Source organism: Homo sapiens, chromosome 4 (assembly GCF_000001405.40).
Source record: "Homo sapiens chromosome 4, GRCh38.p14 Primary Assembly".
Taxonomy (NCBI): Eukaryota; Metazoa; Chordata; class Mammalia; order Primates; family Hominidae; genus Homo; species Homo sapiens.
Window position 1 is genome coordinate 162,465,892 of NC_000004.12, and position 19,588 is coordinate 162,485,479.

The window sequence follows — 19,588 nt, forward strand, 5'->3', positions numbered from 1 at the left end:
TCAGGAGCAGGTTGTTCAGTTTCCATGTAGTTGAGCAGTTTTGAGTGAGTTTCTTAATCCTGAGTTCTAGTTTGATTTCACTGTGGTCTGAGAGACAGTTTGTTATAATTTCTGTTTTTTACATTTGCTGAGGAGTGCTTTACTTCCAACTATGTGGTCAATTTTGGAATAAGTGTGCTGTGGTGCTGAGAAGAATGTATATTCTGTTGATTTGGGGTGGAGAGTTCTGTAGATGTCTATTAGGTCTGCTTGGTGCAGAGCTGAGTTCAATTCCTGGATATCCTTGGTAACTTTCTGTCTTGTTGATCTGTCTAATGTTGACAGTGGGGTGTTAAAGTCTCCCATTATTATTGTGTGAGTGTCTAAGTCTCTTTCTAGGTCTCTAAGGACTTGCTTTATGAATCTGGGTGCTCCTGTATTGGGTGCATATATATTTAGGATAGTTACCTCTTCTTGTTGAATTGATCCTTTTACCATTACATAATGGCCTTCTTTGTCTCTTTTGATTTTTGTTGGTTTAAAGTCTGTTTTATCAGAGACTAAGATTGCAACCCCTGCCTTTTTTGTTTTCCATTTACTTGGTAGATCTTCCTCCATCCCTTTATTTATTTATTTTTTTTTTTAAATTTTTTTTTTTTATTATACTCTAAGTTTTAGGGTACATGTGCACATTGTGCAGGTTAGTTACATATGTATACATGTGCCATGCTGGTGCGCTGCACCCACTAACGTGTCATCTAGCATTAGGTATATCTCCCAATGCTATCCCTCCCCCCTCCCCCGACCCCACCACAGTCCCCAGAGTGTGATATTCCCCTTCCTGTGTCCATGTGATCTCATTGTTCAATTCCCACCTATGAGTGAGAATATGCGGTGTTTGGTTTTTTGTTCTTGCGATAGTTTACTGAGAATGATGGTTTCCAATTTCATCCATGTCCCTACAAAGGACATGAACTCATCATTTTTTATGGCTGCATAGTATTCCATGGTGTATATGTGCCACATTTGCTTAATCCAGTCTATCATTGTTGGACATTTGGGTTGGTTCCAAGTCTTTGCTATTGTGAATAGTGCCGCAATAAACATACGTGTGCATGTGTCTTTATAGCAGCATGATTTATAGTCCTTTGGGTATATACCCAGTAATGGGATGGCTGGGTCAAATGGTATTTCTAGTTCTAGATCCCTGAGGAATCGCCACACTGACTTCCACAATGGTTGAACTAGTTTACAGTCCCGGGCGAAGGACATGAACAGACACTTCTCAAAAGAAGACATTTATGCAGCCAAAAAACACATGAAGAAATGCTCATCATCACTGGCCATCAGAGAAATGCAAATCAAAACCACTATGAGATATCATCTCACACCAGTTAGAATGGCAATCATTAAAAAGTCAGGAAACAACAGGTGCTGGAGAGGATGTGGAGAAATAGGAACACTTTTACCATCCCTTTATTTTAAGCCTATGTGTGTCTCTGCATGTGAGATGGGTCTCCTGAATACAGCACACTGATGGGTCTTGACTCTTTATCCAATTTGCCAGTCTGTGTCTTTTAATTGGAGCATTTAGCCCATTTACATTTAAGGTTAATATTGTTATGTGTGAATTTGATCCTGTCATTATGATGTTAGCTGGTTACGTTGCTCGTTAGTTGATGCAGTTTCTTCCTAGCCTCAATGGTCTTTACAATTTGGCATGGTTTTGCAGTGGCTGGTACCGGTTGTTCCTTTCCATGTTTAGTGCTTCCTTCAGGAGCTCTTTTAGGGCAGGCCTGGTGGTGACAAAATCTCTCAGCATTTGCTTGTCTGTAAAGGATTTTATTTCTCCTTCACTTATGAAGCTTAGTTTGGCTGGATATGAAATTCTGGATAGAAAATTACTTTCTTTAAGAATTTTGAATATTGGCCCCCACTCTCTTCTGGCTTGTAGATTTTCTGCTGAGAGATCAGCTGTTAGTCTGATGGGCTTCCCTTTGTGGGTAACCCGACCTTTCTCTCTGGCTGTCCTTAACATTTTTTCCTTCATTTCAACTTTGGTAAATCTGAGGCATCATGCTACCTGACTTCAAACTATACTACAAGGCTACAGTAACCAAAACAGCATGGTACTGGTACCAAAACAGAGATATAGACCAATGGAACAGAACAGAGCCCTCAGAAATAATGCCGCATATCTATAACCATCTGATCTTTGACAAACCTGACAAAAACAAGAAATGGGGAAACGAGTCCCTATTTAAAAATGGTGCTGGGAAAACTGGCTAGCCGTATATAGAAAGCTGAAACTGGATCCCTTCCTTACACCTTATACAAAAATTAATTCAAGATGGATTAAAGACTTAAATGTTGGACCTGAAACCGTAAGAACCCTAGAAGAAAACCTAGGCAATACCATTCAGGACATAGGCATGGGCAAGGACTTCTTGTCTCAAACACCAAAAGCAATGGCAACAAAGCCAAAATTGACAAATGGGATCTAATTAAACTAAAGAGCTTCTGCACAGCAAAAGAAACTACCATCAGAGTGAACATGTAACCTACAGAATGGGAGAAAATTTTTGCAATCTACTCATTTGACAAAGGGCTAATATCCAGAATCTACAATGAACTCAAACAAATTTACAAGAAAAAAACAAACAACCCCATCAAAAAGTGGGCAAAGGATATGGACAGACGCTTCTCAAAAGAAGACATTTATGCAGCCAAAAGACACATGAAAAAATGCTCATCATCACTGGCCATCAGAGAAATACAAATCAAAACCACAGTGAGATACCACCTCACACCAGTTAGAATGGCGATCATTAAAAAGTCAGGAAACAGCAGGTGCTGGAGAGGATGTGGAGAAATAGGAACACTTTTACACTGTTGGTGGGACTGTAAACTAGTTCAACCATTGTGGAAGTCAGTGTGGCGATTCCTCAGGGATCTAGAACTAGAAATACCATTTGACTCAGCCATCCCATTACTGGGTATATACCCAAAGGATTATAAATCATGCTGCTATAAAGACACATGCACACATATGTTTATTGCAGCACTATTCACAATAGCAAAGACTTGGAACCAAGCCAAATGTGGAACTCCAAGAATGATGAGGTGCACCTGACCCAATGAGGTGATCTGCAACTTGTATCCAGGCAGAACTATATGTTTAAAGCTAGTCCTTATAGCTGGAAAAGAACAGTTATACTTCGAAGACTTCTGATTAGATTTATATTTAAACATTATCACCCACTATTGTGTCCCCTTTAGAATGTTACCAATCTCTCTATTGGATATCCTAGTTGTGATGTTTTCCTACTACATTACTCAGATAAACTTTTTTTGTTAAAGAACTCTTGTCTGTCTGAATTTTACTTTAATCCACAACTACCATTGGCATATATCAATTTAGTAGTTAATCCCATTCTTAGGCAGTATCTAGTGGGAAAACTGACAATAGAGAAGCAATTCTTTATTTCTAAAAGCTGCACAAACAATTCGCCTCTCTGGCCATTAGCAATCTGAGACTAAATGCAGAAAATGATTTCAGCAAGAGAGATACAGAATTGCTTCTTTTGTCCTAATAGCTCTGAGCTTGGTGACCCAGAAACAGGATGTCTCTGTTTTCTGTTTTATCAAGGCAAAAAGAAATAAACAACATACATGTTTACATTTGGTTGTCATCAAGTCTCTACAAAGACCTTCCTCTCCTCTGTGTTAGTCTGTTCTAGGTTCTGAAAGACAATAGGAAAGACGTTATAGCTGCTTTATACCTACAAAGAGTAAATATCTTCCCATCCCACACATTCTGCCTCCAGGTCTAAGTGCACATTTTCTTTGAGGATCTGCTTCTTTTAATCACACTTCTTAGAGAGGTGACTATGAGGGTTACATGGTAAAACAAAAGATAAAATAAAAGCACATTCTACATAGGAGTAGTGTCTGGCACGGGATACTTTCCCAGAAAACGTTAGTTCTGTACACACACACACACACACACACACACACACTCACAGACTTTTTGTTTCCTAACTTTGCATTCTAAAGCAAAATAACATGTTTCCTGTCATTAGCTTTACTTTCTTTATCTATGCTTTTAAATGTTCCATGTGGCATCTGTTTTCCTCTACTTATGTTCTCAAAATATAAAAGGTCATTTAATACTAATAAATTATATCTAGAGAGTAAAAGTAAAGACATTTGCTTTGGGTTACTAGCTCATGTTTATCCAAGTCACATTCAGATGCAGTCCCTTCTGCAAGTCATTGACATATTTAGATAAATGGGATAACACATTTCAATGAATATGGGAAAAGCCAATTCACCAGAGGCAAGAGTGAAGTATTATGGGGAAATTCATTTCCCTTGCCTTTTGCCCTTCATTAACAAAAATGAATGAGGAACTGAGATCATTAAAGAGCTGGTTGAAAATCAAAGAGCAGAATAACAGTGTTACCAATAAACAAAGTCTTAAGAATAATAACAGGATAAATAATGTAATACTCAATAGGCCTGTTTCTGCTAATCCCCATTAAAGGACGAATCTTAGCACTGAGAATTCTAGCAAGATATTTGACAGGATAAGTACTGATTGAGAGTTTAGTTAACATTTCTTTTGAGTTTAGATTTATATCTGTCTTATATCTTAAAGAACATGCTGGGAAACTACAATAAGATATGTATTCTTTCTCAGGGAGTAGACTCCAGAGAAAGGGCTTATCAGAATACTTTACAATAATACCACTTTATCTTAAATAATATAATCCTGTAAAAGCAATACATAGGGAGAAAGGACTAGTGAATATAATACACTTTGTTTCTTCAAGTCACAAGAGAATAACTTGTTTTTGTTACTTGGCTGAGATCTTTCCTGGTAAATTGCAAATCCCTCACTCTTTGTAATATTCTTTACAGGTCTACAAGAAAGGATAAAAGAATTGAAAGCTTCAATATTGTCCCTAAACCATAAAGCCTACTGAATTCCTCCTAGTAGCTTCAAGTCACCGTAATAGAAATTGTGTGACAGGTTTTAGACAGGTCTATAAATAAAATTAATGAGCAAATTTTAGCATACTTTTAAAGCATAATAAGACCTTATAAGATTGTGTTAATTGCTAAATAATCATCATATTCTGCACATGTTGTATATTTTCTATTCTTAAGTATGACTAGCCGATGTTTCTGTTCAAGTTCCCTAGTATTAATAAATATGTCTATAGAGTTTGGAAATAAAGATAATCTTTAAAAAAGAAACAAGTAGCAACACATAATAGAGGAAATTAGTTATTTTGGTAAGTTACCCTCCTAATGCTTGTAAGTGTGTTATTGGGTAGTTTAGTAAAACAGCAAATAAACATACATGCAATAATCAGAGTGACTGAACAAAGTATGAAAAATTAAATGAAGTCAAAACAGTTTTTTTAAATAAGATTATTTGATGAAAAACAATTTTAAAAAGAGTATATTATCTACATATAATACAGAAAATGAAGGACCTAAAACCCACGCACTTAGCAAAATTTTTCTCACTTTTCAGGGAAAAGAGTGAGAAATAGGCAGTTGAGTAATTAGAGGCTGAGCACTCCATAATGCGGGAGGGAGAGTCCATCAATCTCTTTGAAAACCTGGGCAGAGTTATTATCTCTTCAACTACCACATCCTTTTCACGTCATCTACTTAGAGTGATTAGAATTCCTAAGCAACAGGATGCTAGAATTGATGGTTTCTAATTTGTCCAAAGGGTCTTTGCTGAACACCTACTATAGGGCAGGCAGAGATGACATAAAAAGTAATCAAAATTAATCCATGTTATTTCAAATGATTTCTTTAAAATTTAATTTTATGATTTATCGGACCAGTAGTCCTACATTTAAAGCTTTAATTAATTAATTTTCATAATTATTAAACATAAACCGTATAACTGGAGTTCTGTACCTAGTAAGTACAAGTAAGTTTATGCCAGATTGGCTTTTTCCACACATACAAACTAAAAATGGACAAAATAAAAAATACCAAAAGCAAATAAAAAATGAACACATGCTGGCAAAATGTGGAAGGAAAATGACCCTTGGTAGAAAAAAAAATGCATGAGTTAACTTTCCTATATGTATTGACCTTCAGCTTCAGAATGGGCTGGAGTTGGCACTGCGTCTACAGAAAGCCCAGATTATGTTTGACTTGAAGAAATACAGGACTTTTTTTTTTTTTTTTTTTTTTTTTTTTTTTTTTTTTTTGAGATGGAGTCTCGCTCTGTGGCCCAGGCTGGAGTGCAGTGGCGCGATCTTGGCTCACTGCAAGCTCCACCTCTGGGGTTCACGCCATTCTCCTGCCTCAGCCTCCCAAGTAGCTGTGACTACAGGTGCCTGCCACCACGCCCAGCTAATTTTTTGTATTTTTAGTAGAAACGGTGTTTCACCGTGTTGGCCAGGAAGGTCTCTATCCCCTGACTTCGTGATCCGCCCGCCTCGGCCTCCAAAAGTGCTGGGATTACAGGCGTGAACCACTGCGCCTGGTCGGAAATACAGGGCACATTTAGGGAAAACCACAGCCATTGGAAAATGTGATAGGTTGGGTGGGGAGGGGAATTCTATCAAGCAGAGAGCAAGGATAAGTACCCCTAATAAACCCTGTCATTTTTTCCTTTTGACTCCAAAATCACACTTAACAGCCCAGGTAAAATTTAAAAACAAAAACAAAAACTTGAGATCTGAGGTGCCATCCTCAAAATGCCAGAATTATTTATAGAAATATAAAAAAACTATAGTCCTCACAAAATAATATTCACAGTGTTCAGGATACAAACCAACATTGCTTAATAAATAAAGAAATATAAAAAGTGCCACATTCTAAAAAGAAAAGATAATAAAGGGGAAACCAATCTGAGATCATGTAAATAGCAGACTATGATATTAAAATAGCTGTTATAATGATCTTCAATGAGCTAAAAAATTTCTAGCAATAAATGAAACTATAGAAAATCTTAGCAGGGAAACATAAACTACCAAAAATAGAAACCCTAATATTAACGAAAAATATATGTTAATTAAAATGATGGGATAACTTGAGAGTGTAATAGTGATAAAATAGAAAAATCAATAAACTTGGAAGTGATAGTAAATATACCTCTGATTGGATTGTTATGTTTCCATTTTCATGCTCTTCAAAATATATTATAATTTCTCTTGTGTTTTGTTTTTGATTTATGGATTATTTTAAAAAGTATTATTTAATTTCAAAACATTGGAGATTTTCCAGATCTCTTTATGTTATTGATTTTTAATTTAGAGAACATACTTTATATAATTTTAAATTCACCTAATTTCATATGTGTTAATTTTATTGCCTAAATGTGGTCCATTTTGGCGAATGTCATTGTGGACTGAAAAAAACAAAAAAAGTATTCTATTACTGGTCAGAGGGTCCTATAGTTTTTGATTAGGTGTATTTGTTTGATAGTGTTGTTGAAGGTTCCTATATACTTTCTTTTTTTTGTATCCACTTGTGTTAACAATTACACATGTAATTGGGTAAAGAGTGTTGAAATACCTAATTACAATTATGGAGATATCTGTTTCTCATTCTGATAAAAAAAAGTTGAAATATCCAATTATAATTATGAAGATATCTATCATTTCAGTTTTATTAGTTTTTTTCACATTTTAAAGCCTCAATACCTGCATATATAGGCTTGTTATGTTGTTATGTTTCTTTGATTAATTGATCACTTTATTATTATGAACGATGTTTCTTAATCTCAGTATTTCTTGTATTGATGTCAATTTTATTTAGTGTTTGTATAATCACTCCAGATCTCTTTTGATTAGAGTTTGGTTAGTATTTGCATGTATATCTTTTACCATTCTTTCACTACTAGTCTGTGTATATAGGTATATTTAAAGAGGGTTTCATGTTGAAAGCAATAGTAGGTTCTTAAATTTTTATTTAATATTATAATCTCTTGTTTTTTGTTGAGGCATTTAGACCATTTACATTTGTTATAATTAAGAAGAAAGCTAAATGCAGTGGTTCACACCTGTAATCCCAGTACTTTTTGGAGACTGTGGCAGGAGGATTTCTTGAGGCCAGGTTTTCAAGACCAGCCTGAGCAACGGAGAAAGACCCTGTCTCTACAAAAAATTTAAAATTAGCTGAATTTGGTGTGCGTGCCTGTAGTCTTAGCTACTCAGGAGGCTAAGACAGGAGGATTGCTTGAGCCCAGGAGTTTGAGGTTGCATTGATCTATGATCATACTCCTGCACTCCAGACTGGGTGACAGAGAAAGAAGAAAGTAGTGTTTAAGTCTAATATCTACCTGTTTGTGTTTCATTTGGTCCATTTGCCCTTTCCTGTTTTTTTCTCTATTCCTTAGCATTATTTTGGGTTAATTGAGTTTGACTGTGATCCAATTTTATTAATTACCTTATTACCTTTTATTTTTCACTCTTTTTTTTATTTTTAGTGATTCAACTGAGGTTTAAAATATGCATCTTTAATAATCATCGTCTTTATTCAAATAATATGATAGCATTTTACCTTACAATAAAATTTCATTATCTACCTCTTTTCCTTTATAATATTGTTGTCATTCATTTCCCCCCTATATATGCTGTAAATCAGACAAGGCATCATTATTATTTTTATGTTAAAGAGCTAATTTTCACAAGATGAAAAAGCAAGACATGAATTTCTTTTCTACATATCCACATATTTGCCCACATATTCATAATTTTCAGCACTTATATGTGTAGGTGTGAATTTCCATTCGGTATTATTTCCTCCCACCTTTCCAGTGTTTCTTAACATTTTTCATAATGCATTCCTGTTTTTAATGAGTTATCTCAGCTTTGGTTTAAACTTAAAAAAAGCTGTTATTTATACTTAATTATTTCAAGACTTTTTTCTTCTTTGGACAAAAATATCTACACTGGAGAAATTCTTGGCACTCTCTCAGCATGCCACTCTCAACACCAGTGAGGTCTTCAGCGTTAGCCAGTGAGTGATAACTTCATAGTCCTATGCTTAGCGTCTGCTTCCCTGGTCTACTCCTGGTAACAATATAAGGTTAGGTTTACTGGAAGCAGTGCATTTACTTTGTGAGCACTCTCAGAAGGCAGTGTCATGGGGTGGGTAACAGTAAAAACGGAGTCTCAACTGGAGATTTTTTGGTGTCTGGTCCCATTGCGAGACTCCACAACACAAAATGCCCCACAGATTTAGTGTCGCCTTGAAGCAATGGAGCTGGCATAATAGCTCCATGTCAGTTACTTCTTGGCTGAGGTTGGAGGGTAGGTGACAATGTGAGTGATGTGGGTGATTGGGAATAGCCTCCAGGAAGACGGAGTCCCTCTTTGGTTGAAGAAAATTCTCCGGAGAATGGGTCAACCGTGGATGAGTGTGGCTCCTGTATAAAAATCTGTGTACGACTTTTCAGGCCCTACTATATGTAATTAAAAAGGATTTATGTGGCAAGCTTCATGGGAAAAAATCACCCTCCCAGCAAGAGCCTTGGTGCACAGCCAATGCATCACACTCTCTGAGTCAGGGACTCAGGCCCCTCTGGCTGGTCATGCACTCACATATACATGCAGTCTTCGTCCAGAGGCCTTCAATCCTTGGTCTCTTTAAGTGGGGCCCTTTGCCAAGATCTTCAAACACTTTTGCTGAGGCTGCTTTATCTGGGAAAGTAGAAAGAGACTTTGCAGACATTTTTCCCCACTCTGCCTCAATACTCAGTGCAGTTTCACCAGTAGATATTTTGTTTACATCTCCCCCATGTCTAAGGTCCCTAAAAATTCAAGAGCTTTTGGTTCAGGGCTCCCTCAATAAAGATATGAAATTGCACATCTGCCCTGACCTCTGTACCATGAACATTTTCAAGGAGGAAAATGAAACAGAAGTCAACACTTTCTCCAGTTTAGACTCTTGCTTATTCCATTGCAGTAAATGATTAAAAGTTTTACTGTCACTTCCATTTTTGGCTTGTTGCTTGAACTGGGTCTTCTGCCACCTAGAAGCTCAGTTCCCTCATCAGCTCAGATGAGCAGCTGACAGTGGGTAGAGCCACCAGCAGCTGGAGGGGATCTGAGTGTGATACTTGGAGCATCTACTATAACCACTTTCTGTTGTGTTTATTCACTCTAGTTTACTCTTCATATTTTAAACATTAATTTCTTCATTTTTAACTGATATACAATAATTTTGTATGAAGTATAATGTGATCTATGTATACATTGTAGAAAGATTCAGTGAAGCTAATTAACATATTCATCACCTCACCAACTTTTTTTTTTGCAGTGGGAACTTTAAAAACCTATTCTCGCAATTTTGTAATTGCAATACATTATTATTAATGTGGTCACTATGCAGCACAAGAGATAACTAAAATATATTCCTCCAGTCTAACTAAAACTTTGCATCCTTTGATCAATATGTTTCTTTTCCCAATCCCTTCTTATCCCCCAGCCTTTGGGAACCATCTTTCTACTCTCTGTTTCTATGAGACAAACTTTTTCAAATTCCACAGATGTTTGTGAGATCATAAAATATTTATCTTTCTGTGCCTGGCTTATTTCACTTGCCTTAATGGTCCTCCAGGTATATCCATGTTGTCACAAATGACAGGGTTTTTTATTTTTTAAGGCTGTATAGTATTCCCTTGTGTCTATATACCACATTTTCATGATCCATTCATTTGTTGATGGTCATGGTGATGTTTCTGTTTTTGTTTGTTTGTTTGTTTGTTGTTGGCTACTGTGAAAAATGCGAGAATGAATATGGAAATGCAGATATCTATTTGTGGTACCGATTTCATTTTCTTTGGATATATACACAGTAGCAAGATTGCTGGATCATATGGTAATTCTACTTTTACTTTTTTGTAGAACCTCCATACAACTTTTCATAGTGGCTATCCTAATTTATATTCCCACCAACAGTGTGCGAGGGTTCCCATTTCTCCACATTCTCACCAAAATTGGTTATCATTTTTCTTTCCGAATATAGCCATTCTAACAGGAGTAAATTATGTCTCATTGTGGTTTTAATTTAATTTTCATAATGGTTAGTGATGTTGAGCACTTTTTAATTAATTAATTATTTATTTTTATTATTATTATACTTTAAGTTCTGGGATACATGTGTAGAACGTGCAGGTTTATTACGTACATATGCATGTGCCATGGTGGCTTGCTGCACCCATCAACACGTCATCTACATTAGGTATTTCTACTAATGCTATTCCTCCCCTTATCCCCACCCCCTGATAAGCTCCAGTGTGTGATGGTCCCCTCCCTGTGCCCATATGTTCTCACTGTTCAGATCCCACTTATGAGTGAGAACATCCAGTGTTTGGTTTTCTGTTCCTGTGTTAGTTTGCTGGGAATGATGGTTTCCAGCTTCATCTATGTCCCTGCAAAGGACATAAACTCATTCTTTTGTATGGCTGCATAGTATTCCACAGGGTATATGTGCCACATTTTCTTTATCCAGTCTAACATTGATGGGCATTTGGTTTGGTACCAAGTTTTTGCTATTGTAAATAGTGCTGCAATAAACATATGTGTGCATGTGTCTTTATAGTAGAATAATTTATAATCCTTTGGGTATATACTCATTAATGGGATTCCTGGGTCAAATGGTATTTCTGGTTCTAGATCCTTGAGGAATCGCCACACCGTCTTCCACAATGGTTGAACTAATTTACACTCCCACCAACAGTATAAAGCATTCCTATTTCTCCACATCCTCTCCAGCATCTGTTGTTTCCTGAATTTTTAATGATTGCCATTTTAACCAGCACGAAATGGTATCTCATTGTGGTTTTGACTTGCATTTCTCTAATGAACAGTGATGAGCTTTTTTTCATATGCTTGTTGGCCGCATAAATGTCTTCTTTTGAAAAGTGTCTGTTCATATCCTTTGCCCACTTTTTGATGGTTTTTTTTCTTGTAAATTTAAGTTCTTTGTAGATTCTGAATATTACCAATTTGTCAGATGGATCTATTGCAAAAATTTTCCCTCATTCTGTAGGTTGGCTGTTTACTCTGATGATAGTTTCTTTTGCTATGCAGAAACACTTTGGTTTAATTAGATTTCATTTGTCTATTTTAGCTTTTATTAAATTGCTTTTGGTGTTTTAGTCATGAAGTCTTTGCCCATGCCTATGTCTTGAATGGTGTTGCTTGGTTTTCTTCTAGGCTTTTTATGGTTTTAGGACTTATCTTTAAATCTTCAATCCATCTTGAGTTAATTTTTGTATAAGGTGTAAGGAAGGGGTCCAGTTTCAGTTTTCTGCATATAGCTAGCCAGTTTTTCCAACACCATTTGTTAAATAGGGAATCCTTTCCCCATTGCTTGTTTTTGTCAGGTTTGTCAAAGATTAGATGGTTGTAGATGTATGGTGTTATTTCTGAGGCCTCTCTTCTGTTCCATTGGTCTATATGTCTGTTTTGGTACCAGTACCATGCTGTTTTTATTACTGTATCCTTGTAGTATAGTTTGAGGTCAGGTAGTGTTATGCCTCCAGCGTTGTTCTTTTTGCTTAGGATTGTCTTGGATACACGGGCTCTTTTTTTGGTTCCATATGAAATTTAAAGTAGTTTCTTTTAATTCTGTGGAAAAGGCAATGGTAGCTTGATTGGAATATCATTGAATCTATAAAATACTTTGGGCAGTATGACCATTTTCACAATATTGATTCTTCCTATCCATGACCATGGAATATTCTTCAATTTCTTTGTGTCCTCACTTATTTCCTTGAGCAGTGGTTTGCAGTTCTCCTTAAAGAGGTCCTTCACATCCCTTATAAGTTGTATTCCTAGGTATTTTATTCCCTTTGTAGTTATTGTGAATGGGAGTTTGCTCAGGATTTGGCTCTCTGTTTGTCTATTATTGGTGTATAGGAATGCTTGTGATTTTTGCACATCAATTTTGTATCCTGAGACTTTGCTGAAGCTCCTTATCAGCTTAAGGAGTTTTTGGGCTGAGATGATGGGGTTTTCTAAATATATAATCATGTCATCTGCAAACAGAGACAATTTGATTTCCTCTCTTCCTATTTGAATTCCCTTTATTTCTTTCTCTTGCCTGATTGCCCTGGCCAGAACTTCCAATACTATGTTGAATAGGAGTGGTGAGAGAGGGCATCCTTGTTTTGTGCCGGTTTTCAAAGGGTATACATCCAGCATTTGCCCATTCAGTATGATATTGGCTGTGAGTTTGTCATAAATAGCTCTTACTATTTTGAGATATGTTCCATCAATACCTAGTTTATTGAGTGTTTTTAGCATAAAGAGGTGTTGAATTTTATTGAAGGCCTTTTCTTCATCTATTGAGATAATCATGTGGGTTTTGTCATTAGCTCTGTTTATGTGATGGATTACATTTATTGATTTGCATATGTTGAACCAGACTTGCAGCCCAGGGATGAAGCCGACTTGATTGTGGTGGATTAACTTTTTAACGTGCTGCTGGATTTGGTTTGCCAGTATTTTATTGAGGATTTTTGCGTCAATGTTCATCAGGGATATTGGCCTGAAATTTCCTTTTTTTGTTGTGTCTCTGTCAGGTTTTGGGATCAGGATGATGCTGGCCTCATAAAATGAGTTAGTTAGGAGTCTCTCTTTTTCTCTTCTTTCGAATACTTTCAGAAGGAATGATACCAGCTCCTCTTTGTACTTCTGGTAGAAATCAGCTGTGAATCCATCTGGTCCTGGGAGGATTTTACTTTAGGGATACTTTTATTCTATTTCATTCAGTTTATCTAATTTTATAATACGCTTTTCTGAAATTCAAGAGGAATACTTTTATATCTCATACTTTTACAGAAAAAAGTTTATATTATTTTAGGAGGGAGGTTAGTTAGAATAACTTTTTGAGCTTCATAATCCTAAAGTTTCCTCTTTGATTATTTACATAAAGTGTTAAAAAATATGGCTACTTTTGGCTTTGTCTCCCTGCTCACAACTACAATATGAACTTCCTTTCTCTGAACTCCTATTATTCTTGTACTGCTCAATGTGACTTCTATTGCCCACTAATTTTACTCAGTAGTAGTGTTGCCTAGGGAGAGAATGTTATTGGTCTGTTATGAGAAGTCATGTGATGAAGGTATCTCAAGACTCTTCAGAATGTCTTCAGTAGCTCATATTTCCCTGAGAATTTTTGTATGCAAACTCTTCCCAGTTTCAGCTGCTATTAACAACTTGCCTTGCCACCAATTCCAGTGAATGTTTGTTGGCTATTTTGTAGTTTTCCTCTTTTCAGATCCCCTGACTCTTTCCTCAGATTTCTTCCAAATGGATTCTCATGCTATGCAAATCTGGTAGCTCTCAGAAGTTTGTCTTCACTTTTTGATTTTCTGGGGAAATGTTATCACTTATCTTTTTTGTAAATGTCATGGAGTATTAGTTTCACTACCCTAGTTACTCTGTCAGCTTTTATGGGGAATTTGGAGTAATTTAAAAATACTGCGTCTCTTCCCAGGGTTTTCTTATATCTTTTTTAAGCCCTGAGAGTAAAACAAAATACACTGAGGGCGTTAACAGGCCAATGTTCATAGCTTAATTTTCCAAAATTAAAAGTCAATATCCATGGACAGCAAAAGTGAAAATAAACACACGGGGCTATATCAAACTAAAAAGCTTTTTTGCAGCAAAGGAACAATCAAAAGAGTAAAGACACAAACTATGGAATGGCAAAAACTGTTTGCAAACCGTACATCTAATAAGGGGTTAATATCCAAATAATGTAAGGAACTCAAACAGCTCAATAATAAGAAAACAAATAACAATGATTCATCAAAGTAGAAGAAAAGACATTTTCCCAAAGAAGAAATACAAATGACCAACAGGCATAGAAAAATTTGCTCAACATCATTAGTCATCAGGAAAATGCAAATTAAAATCAGGATATATGACCTTACTCCTGTTAGAATAGCTATTACCAAAAAGACAATTGATAACAAATGTTGGTGAGAATGTGGAGAAGAAGGAACCCTTGTACACTGTCAATGGGAATGAAAATTAGGACAACCATTATGAAAAACTGTATGAAATTTCCTAAAAAAACTAAACGTAGAACTACCATGTGAGGTGGCAAATCCACTACCAGTTTTATATCCAAAGGAAATGAAATCAGTACCTCAAAAATATATCTGTATTCCCATGTTCATTTCAGCATTACTTACAGTAGTCAAGATATTGAATCAACATAAGTGTCCATCAACACATAAATGCATAAAGACAAAGTACATACACACAATTAAACACTGTTCACCCATAAAAAAAAGAAAATCCTGTCATCTGCAATGACATGGACATACCTGGTGGACATTATGCTAAGTGAAATAAGCCAGGCACAGAAAAATAAACACTTTATGATCTCCCTTGTATGTGGAATCTAAACAATCAAACTCATAGAAGCAGACAGTGGAATAGTGGTCACAGAAGCTGCGGTATATTGGCAATGGGGAGGTGATAGTCAAAAGGTACAAAATTTCAGGTACTTAGAAGGAGTCAGTTCAAGAGATCTATTGTACAATAAGGTGACCATGGTTAATAATAATGAATTGTATTATTGGAAATTGCTAAGGAGTGTAATTTAAGTGTTCTTACAAAGGTTAATAAGAATGTGTGGCAATCTATACGTTAATTAGCTCAATTTAGTCATTCCAAAATGTGTACATTTTCAAAACATCATATGCACTCTCTCTATATGTGTATACACACACACACACACACACAATATTTGTCAACTTAAAAATATATGAATAAATTTTAGAAAAAGATTTTAGAAAAAAATTTAAATTTTCTAATTTTAGAAAAAAAAGGGAAGGGGAATTTCATAAGTTCCAAATTTCATAATTTCAAATATAAGAATCTAATATAAGATAAAAGTGGTATCACACATCAGAGTGGAAAAGATGTACAATTCAATAAGAAGGCTACTGGATTGCCATCTGAAAAATAAAATAAAATTGGATTAAAATGTTAATATTTACCACTGGAACTCTATGGATATAATAGGTACATATACTTCAAAAAATTGTGCATATATATATGCCTGAGACATCTGTACATTGCTTAGTTTATTGCACTCTTCTTGAAAAAGGCAGACATTCTCTACTCTAATTCCAAATCCAATTTCTGTCCATGCAACCAGTGTTTGAGAACGATACATTTATTTTTGTTTCTCAAATGCACCCCAATCTCTCTTATCTTCAGGCCTTGTCATGTGTTGCTTCCTCTGTCTGAGGTATCATAATATCCCCCTTTGCTAAGATTCTCCTATAAAATACAGGATGGCCAGTTCAATTCAGACAAATAATAAATATTTTCAGTATAAAAATACCAGTAAAAGGGCTCACTCCTGTAATCCCAGCACTTTGGTAGGCCGAGGCAGGCGGATCATGAGGTCAGGAGATCGAGACCATACTGGCTAACACGGTGAAACCCCGTCTCTACTAAAAAAAAAAAAAAAAAAAATTAGCCGGGCGTGGTGGTGGGCACCAGTAGTCCCAGCTACTGGGGAGGCTGAGGCAGGAGCATGGCGTGAACCTGGGAGGCGGAGCTTGCAGTGAGCCCAGATCGCACCACTGCACTCCAGATTGCGCCACTGCACTCCAGGCAACAGAGCGAGATTCTGTCTCAAAAATAAATAAATAAATATATAAAAATAAATAATAAAAACCAATAAAATATTTTGGATAAACTGATTCTTAACATTTACTTTTTTTGCCTGAAATTCAAATTTAACTGAGCAACCTGCATTGCCATTGCTATATTTGGCAAACTGTCTCTTTTCCTTATCCCTGAAAATGGCTTTAAAACCCAGCTTACAACTCACTCACTCTCAAAGAGGTCTCACTTATGTATAACTTAAACTCCTAATGTATACCAAAAACACAGCAGGATAGTTTTACTGAATAAATCTGAATATGTTTATATAGATATATTTTTTTGTAAAAAAAAACAAGATTTTGAATATACAGCCTTATAAATTTGATAAGGAATAATGCAGTGTCTCATATAACATCTTATAAAATAGGCTTTAATTTTAAACAGTTTTTAAAATAACCACATTTACTTTTTAATTAAGGTAGAAACATAATGTTTGTTATGTTTTGTACCAGAGCTGAACACAGTCAAATCTAAAGGCAATTTTCCTTGGTAAGACAATTATTACTTTTCGCCAACTGACATATTTTAATATATGTATACCTGATGTCTTACACGTTATGTTTTCACAAGTATTTATTCTCATTCATAAGCAGAAAATGGCCATGAACTCTATAAGACATTGTCTAATAGCTAATGCAATGAGAACAGAGTAGCACCACAAATATCGATATTGGCAAGATATTACTATTCTATAATTCTTTTAGAGTAATCAATGATGTTTAGGTTGCTTACATTTTAATTGGATAATATTTTTCTATCATAGCAGAAAATGTTAAAGGTGCAACTATTTCTTTAAAAGTAAGGCCTAGCCAGTTATCCCTGAAGCTTGAGTTTTTAATAAGCTTATTTTCCCTTATGCACACTATACCATCAACATATTTACACACAGATAAAAGAAAATGTAGGCTGGGCCTGGTGGCTTACGCTTGTAATCCTAGCACTTTCGGAGGCCAAGGCCGGCAGATCTCTTGAAGTTGGGAGTTTGAGACCAGGCTGGCCAACATGGTGAAACCCATCTCTACTAAAAATACAAAAATTAGTTGGGCATGGTGGCGCACACTTGTAATCCCAGCTACTTGGGAGGTTGAGGCCCTAGAATCTCTGAAACCCAGAAGGCAGAGGTTGCAGTGAGCCGAGATGGTGCCACTGCACTCCAGCCTGGGCGACAGACCAAGGCTGCCTCTCAAAAAAAAAGAAAGAAAAAGAGAGAGAGAGAGGAAGACTTATATTAAGCCAAAAAAAAAAAAAAAAAAAAAAAAACTAAGAAAAATCCAAGTCTTTTAAATGTTGACTTTTAATTTTTATTTTATTTTTTTATTTTTTGAGATGGAGTCTCACTCTGTTGCTCAGGCTGGAGTGCAGTGGCACAATCTCGGCTCACTGCAACCTCTGCCTCCCAGGTTCAAGCGATTCTCCTGCCTCAGCCTCCCCGGTAGCTGGGACTTGGCACGTGCCACCATGCATGGCTAATTTTTTGTATTTTTAGTAGAGACGGGGTCTCACTGTATTAGCCAGGATGGTCTCGGTCTCCTGACCTCGTGATCCACCCGCCTCAGACTCCCAAAATGTTGGGATTACAGGCGTGAGCCACTGCGCCTGGCCCTCAAGTTCGTTTTTAATTCTGCTTTCCAAACACTTTTTCCGAAAGAGAAAAGCTACGAGCTGAGTAATGTTACAAAAAGTTGTTACATGACGTTGGCTGTGAAATAAAGTATCTTGATTGTATCCAGATAACAATGCTAAGTTTAGGAGGAAAAAAACCCAGCAAAATAAATTCTGCTAAAATGTTTCTGAGTTTGATTTTCCACCTACTGTTGAATAGAGAATATTATTATTTTTTTTAAGTTCGCAGTTTTTGGGGAAGATTGCTCTAATGCTCAAAAGGAATTCCAGAATAAGATATATAACTACTTGTTCTTCCATGGGATAAATGATACTGTCAAATTATGAAGAAATCACCACTCAATATTTGAAAGAAAAAACATGTTGTGCTTATTGCTTACTATAGTGAATAGAGATATGCTGGTCAGGTATAGCCTCTCTAAAAAGAGCAAGCTGCTGGATTTATACCAGAATTTTTGGAAGCTTAAAAGTCAGGGATTGGTGACCTTTCAGAAGTTTAAGTAGGTTGACATTCGCTGCCAAAATGTGATTACTCCAACAAAATTGTTCTCAATTGGTTGACACTCAGAATTGTGTTTATGGGAGTGAGTCCATATAAATTGCTTGGCTTTCTGAAATGAAAGCTGTTAATGATTGGTTTTCCTGCAAAAAAAGAAAAAAAAGTCATCATCAATCAATTGGATGGGTTAAAATTCAATTCAAGTGATTACTTGATAAATGTGCCATAGCCTTTTTTAAGAGCCTGTTTTATTATTAATAATAATTATTATTATTCCCAGTATCCCCTTTGGTTTTCATGTAGCCAAAGCTGCAGGAGAGACTATCGGGGACTGCCCATATTCTTGAAACGACATTTCATTTACTGATATCTAATTTTCAAGTTGAGTATGAATCAGTGTGATTGCATCATGGTTTTGCCTTTGAATCAGTTTTTGGGTCATTTGTTAAGACAATGTCTATCTAGAAAACATTTACGACTTTGGACAAGTATGAAATAATTCTAAGGAAAACAAGCCTAACTACAAGCATTATAAGGAGAGAAGACAAGACATTTTGGAACAATGACCTAAGACTTTCCTTGCCTAACAGAGAAAGTAAGTCCCCAAGATGTGCTGTCTTATCTAGCCAGGTTTTCTTTTTCTGTTAGCTTAAATATAGATTATTTTCATATTTCCTGTTCACATGAATTATCAGCAATGGCACAGACTCTCTTTCAGAGGAAAAAAAAAAAAAACCCAAGACTAATCCACTGTTTATAACTACTTAAGAGGCTTAAATTGGTTTATGCTGTTTCTAGAACT